The sequence below is a fragment of the Homo sapiens genome, chromosome 6 (assembly GCF_000001405.40).
Source record: "Homo sapiens chromosome 6, GRCh38.p14 Primary Assembly".
NCBI lineage: Eukaryota > Metazoa > Chordata > Mammalia > Primates > Hominidae > Homo > Homo sapiens.
Window position 1 is genome coordinate 93,662,463 of NC_000006.12, and position 8,931 is coordinate 93,671,393.

The 8,931-nt window shown below is 40.5% G+C and overlaps 2 annotated features.

The window, feature by feature from the left end:
* Positions 1,743-2,244: an enhancer, noted in NCBI's record as "H3K4me1 hESC enhancer chr6:94373923-94374424 (GRCh37/hg19 assembly coordinates)". NCBI's record gives its function as "activates a minimal SCP1, AML or CMV promoter by ChIP-STARR-seq in primed H9 embryonic stem cells {active_cell/tissue: H9 hESC(primed)}" and the evidence as "EXISTENCE:reporter gene assay evidence [ECO:0000049][PMID:30033119]".
* Positions 2,245-2,744: an enhancer, noted in NCBI's record as "H3K4me1 hESC enhancer chr6:94374425-94374924 (GRCh37/hg19 assembly coordinates)". NCBI's record gives its function as "activates a minimal SCP1, AML or CMV promoter by ChIP-STARR-seq in primed H9 embryonic stem cells {active_cell/tissue: H9 hESC(primed)}" and the evidence as "EXISTENCE:reporter gene assay evidence [ECO:0000049][PMID:30033119]".

Sequence of the window (8,931 nt, forward strand, 5' to 3'; positions counted from 1 at the left end):
AATACCTACTCACCTCAACTGGGAGAGTCCAGAAGATATAACCTTCACCAATACCTGTGACATAGATTTGTGAGGCAAGTACCAGCATCCTTGAAGAGTTCTGTGATAGTTCCTTTTCATATGCCAGATCTTACAGTGAAAACGGCAGCCACTCAATTGGAAAACTTAAATGCAATGGGAATAATTGGCTCCCAGGTGGAACAACTAAATGGCAGCACTCAATCATGAAAGGCAAGGTGGGCATAGTTACCATAATTAACAGCAGAGGCAAAGTGGCAATCAGAATAGTCTGACTTGTATAGAGTTCTGGCAGTGGCTAATTAATCCTGGTGTTCCTAGAAGTGAAATTAATAGGAAGCCTACTGCATTCTTACTTGATTTGCATAAGCAGAAAACTTCCAGGTCGAGTGGACAAAGTAAAATTTGAGTTATAAAAATAGAGAATCAAGGTCCCTCAATCAATTTCCAAACTTGAGCCAGTTTATGGGCCTGGTACCCCTTGAATGAAGGGAAGGCCACGTTCCCTTGAGGGAGAACCCCACTACACTCCTGAAAATCTATACTGTTAATCTTTCTCCCATCCTTCCCCAAAGAGACCTCTGGCTTTTTACCAGGGTAACTGTGCATTAGGGAAAGGGGAATGATCAGACCTTTTGAGGACTCCTGGGCACTTACTCTGATATGAAATCGATTTCCAGGGACTTAAAATGTAATTGTGGCCCTCCAATTAGAGTAGGGGCTTTTGAAGGTAAGGTAGTTAACAGAGTTTTAGCTCAAGTCTGACTCACAGTGGGTCCAGTGGGTTCCTGGACACATTCTGTGGTTATTTCCCCAGTGCCAGAGTGCATAACTGGGATAGACATACTTTGCAGCTGGCAGAATCCCCACATTGGTTCCCTGACCTGTGGGGTGAGGGCTATTATGGTGGGAAAGGCCAACTAGATGCCATTAGAGCTGCCTGTACCAAATAAAATAGTAAATAAAACCAATATTATATCTCTGGAGGGGTTTCAGAGATTAGTGTCATGATCAAGGACTTGAAAGAGGCAGGGGTGGTGATCCCCAACACATCCCCATTCAACTCTCCTATTTGGCCTGTGCAGAAGACAGATGGATCTTAGATAATAATATGGATTATTGTAAGCTTAACCAAGTGATGACTCCAGTTGCAGCTGCTGTATCAGATGTGGTTTCATTGCTTGAGCAAATGAAGACATCTCCTGGTAACTTGTACGTAGCTATTGATTTGATAAATACCTTTTTCTCCATTCCTGTCCATAATGCCCACCAGAAATAACTTGTCTTCAGCTGGCAAGTTCAGCAATATACCTTAACTGTCCTACCTCAGGGGTATATCAGTTCTCTGGCTTTGTGTCATAATCTTGTTTGCAGAGATCTTGATTGCTTTTCCATTCCACAAGATATTATACTGGTCCATTGCATTGATGACATTATGCTGATTGGACCCAGGGAGCAAGAAGTAGCAACCACTTTAGACTTATTAGTGAGATGTTTGTCATGTCAGGAGATGGGAAATAAATTTGACTAAAACTCAGGATCCTTCTATCTCAGTGAAATATTGAAGAGTTTATTGATGTGGGGCCTGTTGAGATATTCATTTGAAAGTAAAGGATAAGTTACTGCGTTTGGCTCTTCCTACAATCAAGAAAGTTGCACAATGCCTAGTGCGCCTATTCGGATTTTAGAGGCAACACATTCCTCATTCAGTTGTGTTACTCTGACTCATTTATTAAGTGATCCAAAAGGTTTCTAGTCTTGAGTGGGTTCCAGAACAGGAAAAAGTTCTGCAACAGGTCCAGCCTGCTATGCAAGCTGGTCTGCCACTTGGGCCAGATGACCCAGCAGATCCAATGGTGTTTGAGGTATCCGTGACAGAGAGGGATGATGATTGGAGCCTTTGGCAGGTCCCCACAGATGAATGACAGTTGGAGCAAGGCCCTACTATCTTCTGCAAATATCTATTCTCTTGAGAGACAGCTTTTAACCTGTTACTGGGCCTTGGTAAAAACTGAACCTTTGACTGTGGGTCGCCAAGTGTATTAGTTAATTCTCACATTGCTGTAGAGAAATATAATACTTGAGACTGGGTAATTTATAAAGAAAGGATATTTAATTGGTTTACAGTTCTGCAGGCTGTAAAGAAAGGATAGCTGCATCTGCTTCTGGGAGGCCTCAGTGAAGGGGTAGCAGGTATGTCACATGGTGAGAGGGGGAGAGAGAGAGAGAGAGAGGGAGAGAGAGAGAGAGAGGGAGGGAGAGAGAGAGAGAGGGAGAGAGAGAGAGAGAGAGAGAGAGAGAGAGAGAGAGAGAGACATCCACTTTTAAATGACCAGATCTCTGAAGAATTCTCTCACTCTTGCAAGTACAGCACCAAGAGGATAGTGCTAAACCACTCTTTAGAACCTGCCCCCGTGATCCAATCACCTCCCACTAGGCCCCACTTCCAGGACTGAGGATTACAATTCAACATGAGATTTGGATGGGAACATAGATTCAAACCATATCACCAAGTTACCACATGACCTAAACTGACTATCATGAATTGATTGCTTTCTGACTCATCTACCCATAAGGGTGGGCATATGCTGCAGCATTTCATCATCAAATGGATGTGGTACATATGGGATTGGGCTCTAGCAGATTCTGATGGCACAAGTAAGTTACATGAGGAAGTAGCCCAAATGCCCATGGTCCCCACTTCTACCACCCTACCATGTCTCTCTCAGCCTGCATGTATGACCTCATGGAGAGTTTCCTATGATCAGTTGACAGAGGAAGAAAAGACTAGGATCTAATTGACAAATGGTTCTGCATAATATGCATGCACCACCTGAAAGTGAACAGTTGCAGCACTACAGTCCCTTTCTGGGAGATTCCTGAAAAACAGTGGCAAAGGGGAATCTTCCTAGTGGGCAGAACATCAAACAGTATATCTGGTTGTGCACTTTGCTTGAAAGGAGAAATGGCCAAGTGTGCAATTATATACTGATTCATGGGCTGTAGTCAATGGTTTGGGTAGATGGCCAGGATCTTGGAAGGAGCATGATTGGAAAATTGGTGACAAAGAAATCTGGGGAAGAGGTATGTGGATGGGCCTCTCTGAGTGGTCAAAAACTGTGAAGATGTTTGTGTTCCATGTGAATACTCACCAAAGGATGGCCTCAGCAGAGTAGAATTTCAATGATCAAGTGGATAGAATGACCTGTTCTGTGAATACCACTCAGCGTCTTTCTCCAGCCATCCCTGTTATCACCCAATGGGCTCATAAACAAAGCAGACATGGTGGTAGGGATGAAGGCTGAGCATAAGCTCAGCAACATGGACTTCCACTCACCAAAGCTGACATGGCTATGGCCACTACTGTGTGTCCAATCTGCCAGCAGCAGAGATCAACACTGAGCCCTCGATATGGCACGATTCCTTGAGGTGATTAGCCAGCTACATGGTGGTAGGTTGATTACATTGGACCTCCTCCATGACGGAAGGAGCAGTAGTTTGTCCTTACTGGAATAGACACTTACTCCAGATATGGATTTCCTTTTCCTGCATGCAGTGCTTCTGCCAAGACTACCATCTGTGGAATCACAAAATGCCTTATCTACTCTCATGATATTTCACACAGCATTGTCTCTGACCAGGGAACTGACTTCACAGGCAAAGAAGTGTGGCAGTGGGCTCATGCTTATGGCATTTAGTGGTCTTACCATGTTCCCTATTATCCTGAAGCGGCTGGCTTGATAGAAGAGTGGAATGGCTTTTTGAAGTCACAATTACAATGCCGGCTAAGGCAAAGTTCTCCAGAAGGCTGTGTATGCTCTGAATCACATCCAATATATGGTACTGTATCTCCCATAGCCAGTATTTATGAGTCCAAGGATAAAGGGGTAGAAGTGGCAGTGGCACCACTCGCCATAACCCCTAGTGACCTGCCAGAAAGTTTGTGTTTCCTGTTCCCATGATATTATGTTTTTCTGGCCTAGAGGTCTTAGTTCCAGAGGGAGGAATGTTGCACCAGGAGACACAACAACGATTCCATTGAACTGGAAGTTGAGACAACTGCTACCTGGCCACTTTGGGCTCCACCTGCCTCTAAGTCAAGAGACTAAGAAAGGAGTTACAGTGCTGGTTTGGGTGACTGACCTGGACTACCAAGATGAAATCAGACTACTACTCCACAATGGAGGTAAGGAAGAGTATGTTTGGAATACAGGAGATTCATTAGGGCATCTCAGTATTACCCTGCCCTGTAGTTAAGGTCAGTGGGAAGCTACATCAACCCAATCCAGGCAAGACTACACATAGTCAAGGCTCTTCAGAAATGAAGGTTTGTGTCATGCCACCAGGCAAAAAAAACCACAACCAGCTGAGGTGCTTGCTGAAAGCAAGGGGAATACTGAATGGATAGTGGAAAAAGATAGTTACCAACACCAGCTACAACCATGTGACCAGTTACAGAAACAAAGAGTTTAATTGTCATGAGCATTTTTTCCTTATTTGGTTAAGAATATGTTGGTGGATATGCACACCAGTACTAAGAAAATATCTTCATTTTATTTCCATTTTTATTACTTTATCATATAACATAAGATTTACTGACTTCATGTCTATCAGTATTTAAATGCTGTTAATTTTATGTAATAGCATTTAGGTTAAAGGATTAGTGCACTTTTGGTTGGTTGTACGAAGGATAGTTATATTATGTTAGACATAATTATGACTTTATTATTGTCCTTATTTGGAGGTTAAGTATAATTTAAGAAGATGTGTATGGATGCCAAGTTGACAAGGAGTGAACTTGTGATGGTTAATACTAGGTGTCAGTTTGATTGCATTGAGGGATGCCTAGATGGCTGGTAAGAAATTGTTTCTGAGTGTGTTTGTGAGGATGTGGCCAGAGACAACTGACATTAAGTTGTTGGACTGGGAGAGGAGACCCTCCCTCAATGTAGGTGGGTGCCATCCATTTGGCTGTCAGTGCAGCTAGAACAAAGCAAGAGGAAGGTGTGGAAAACTTTGCTTGCTAAATCTTCTGGCTCTTTTTATTCTTTTCATGCTGGACACTTGCTTCAGCTCCTCCTGCCCTTGGACATCAGACTCCAGGTTCTTCAGCCTTTAAACTCTGGGACTTGCAACAGCAGCTTCCCAGAGACTCTTAGTCCTCTGGCTGCAGACTGAAGCTGCACTGTCAGCTTCCCTGGTTTTGAGGCTTTCAGACTTGGACTGAGGTACTACTGGCTTCTCTCTTCCCCAGCTTGCAGGGGACTCTGTCACAGGACTTTGTCTTGTAATCTTGTGAGCCAATTCACCCTAATAAACTCCTTTTTTATATACATGTATCCTAATGGTTCTGTCCCTCAGGAGAACTGTGAGTAATATATTATTTATATTTAAGGTTGCAGTTTTGAGTGAGGCCCAGAGCAAGTGAAGGCTACACAGCAGGCCTAGACTGCATTACAATTTTTTCTGGCATATGGATCTTAGGATGCAGCAGACCCAATGGTCCTGAATGGAACCGTGACAGATGCCTCCTCAGATCTCTGGCAAGTCCCAACAGGAGAATACCAGCACATTCCTCTTGAAATTCAGATTAAATGCATGCCCCTTTCTGCCATTTGAAAAGCTGCTCCTGGTGTATAACTGAGTCTTGGTAAATTCTAAATGCCTAAATATGGGAGACTAAGTGATTTTGGGTCCCAAGCTGACCAAACATGGAAAAAAGACAAAACACATACTGAGGGATAAAAGGAGGCAACTGATTATTTTATGTTTATTCTTCTAATTTAGTATTTTACTCTTTTCTACCTGTTCTGTTCCTTGAGATGCTGAAAGTATCCCCTGGGCTCTCTTGGCCTGTAGCTTCTAGTTATATTTGACCAATGACAGGAAATGAAATGGAGGAGGAGAGTATGAGATTATTTATTAATTCCCTATATTTTCTCTCTGCTGAAATGAAGTTTAGCAGTGGTGATGGTACTCTTTCGAAGGCACAGTTGCTCTTCATATGGCCACAGCGCTAATTTCGTGTAACAGCATCTCCTTCTCACCCCTTCAGACTTAAAGCTATTGTTGACTTCCCCTGTTTCTATTCCTTGGAATCTTCATCATTCTCTTCTGTTGCTCTTAGCCATCCTTATACCTCTATAAATAGTTCCTTTATTCGATTCTCAACCATTACTACTTTTGGTATGCAGACAGTTCCCCTATCGCCTAGAATAAATGACAGAGCAGAAAGAAGACCATATCAGGTCACATATGTACTTTTTAGTAAGAGATAAATAAAATCTATCTCTTTTAAAGACACTGTCACTTTGGGGTTTTCTATTATAAGCAGTCAAACATTATCCTCAATGCTATAACACCTCACTTTGATAATTCCACCTTTCATTTGTTTGGAAAGTGCTTTTCGTCATGTCTTTTTTGTTGGCATTGTCCTAGCACCCATTATGTCCCTTAGACACCTCTGCATCCTCTGAATGTCAATAGACTTGGTGCCTTTACCCCTCATTTTGAGTTAGAATCTCTAACTGTACCATTATCTTCCGTCCATGTACCATCCTCTGTTCCTCATCTAAAATTTAGCAAACATGTCCTGAACTCAGTAGTTATCAATATATGCTATTGATAAGAATGGTACTTTCCCCATTTATTTAGGAAGAATCAAACTTCACAGCCTTCTAAGTAGAGAAGACTGCAGTGGTTTAAATATTTTCATTCTGAATTCTTGCCATAAGTGTATTTTATGAGGAAATTATTTTTCTCCGACTCTGCTTGGAAAGTCAGAAGCAAGCAACATGGAAGAATATTGCTTTGGAAGAAAAGTGGAAGAATATCATTGGCAGATGCTTTAGTAGAGAGCAACTGAGGGATATGGCAAAGTCCCGGTCCCTGCTTCATCTTCCTCTATGGTCATGTCGTGGGCCAAACTTTAGAGCCTATCGCTCTCAAAGACCTACCTGGAAGGTATAATCTGTCTGTCAACATCTGCTCACTCGACTCAAATGAAATGTCCTCTTATTTAGTCCCAACTATCCCTCCAATAGCTTCAGATAACAGTTATCAGCCTTTCACTGAGTAGTGATTTTGTATATGTGTGTGTGTGTCTGACTGGCACATATCTTATGAGATTAGAAGCACTAGAAGGGTCAAAACTTATCTTGGGTATTTTTGTCTCCTTAGCAACTAGAACATGCCTGGCTCATAGCAGAAAGTCAAAGAAATAAATCCAAACAAATAATATATATTTGTTGAATATATTCAAGACCTCATTCAAAATCCTTCAATTCTTCATCACCTTCAAACCTGCCATAGTGTTAACTCCCTCTGTGATTCCATAGTAATTTATATATGATTCTCTTACAGCATTTTCATGTAACTTCATAATTATATATGTATTTCCCAGTAGCCTATGTAATTATCAAGCACAGTAGCTATACAGCTGAATGTTTAAACCTCCAGCTTTGAATCACAATTCGGCTGCTACATAGCTACCTCATCTTAGTTAAGTTGCTTAACTTTTCTAAGATAGTTTCCTTGTTAATAAAATATATATAATTTATTTTTACACAAAGAAACTAACATCTAACAGGTGCAGCTATGGGCAATAGAGTTAAGAGAAAAATAAAAAGTAAAAAAGAAAAGGAAAGTATGGAGATGGGGAAGAAAGAAAAGGTAGACAAAGTGCTTGTCCTCATGGATTGTGCATTACAAATATGAATTTATTTATATTTTTCTATGTCCAATTCTATATCTCCAAGCAAACAATATGATTTCATATATTTATAAGTAGTCTGAAGAAAATAAAGCAAGGTGAGGGCATAGAACTTGACAGAGATGGCAGAAAGTCCTGGTGTTTATTAGAGAAGCTGATTTAAGGATTGAAGTCCCCCAAATCATTAGGATTGTGCAAAAAATTCAAAAAATTTTCTTCTTGATACATGGTAGGATTGCACTTGCTATCTTCTTTGTATCTGGGTATGGCCTTCTCAGCCCATGAAAGTTGGAGAAAAGGGAGTTACGTGCAGAAGCTTTCACAACCAACTCAAGATTTGCCCCATCTTCTTCACCTGCAGAAATTATTTGGAAGCATTTATTGAGAAGCTCTTGTCTCTATGTTAACCCAAACTGGACAGCACACAATTTGAAGATTGTTTTAGTACTGCGTAAGCTATCCTATCTTTACTGATACAAGCCTTATCACAGTGCCTGACCCCCAGAGACTGCTTGATAAATTCTCATTATCATTTTGCTGACATTATTATTATTATTGATTTTATTATAGTAACATAAGTATTACCTATGTAGAAACATAGTAGAGGATAAATATCCTTCTCTTGAATGAGTTTAAGGCAGGAAAGTGCAAGTCTTTTGATCCTATCTTTAATTCAAATTACCTGTCAGAGGCAGCAGAGTGGCAACACTTAGATCCAAAGAGGAATCCCTAGTGGGAAAAATTAAATGTATGCTTTCATTGCTATATATTAATTGATTGGCACTGTAAAACTGGATACAAATATTTTTAAGCTATTTGGCTTGGAGACCTAATAAATCTAATTATTAATGCAGAAAACTTTAAAAAATCAAGTATATAAGTAAAAAATGATAACTCTTTGAAATACTATTAGGAATAGTAAAAATTGTCACAAAATATCAATATAAACTAAGAAATATTATTTTTAGGCACAGCTTAAATTATAGAAGAGATAATTAAGTAACTTAACTGGACAGAAATATCAGTTTTAACTGAAATGTAGCTCAGTTTCATTTAAACCTTTGCAAGGGAATCATAGGAAAAAATATAACACAACTTTCTCTGGTGGCAGAAATTGCTAACAGCATCACAGTAAATCTTGTGTGAAACATGTAAAAACAGATCTGGAGGGATAGGGAAATGCAAAACACGTCAGAAGCAAT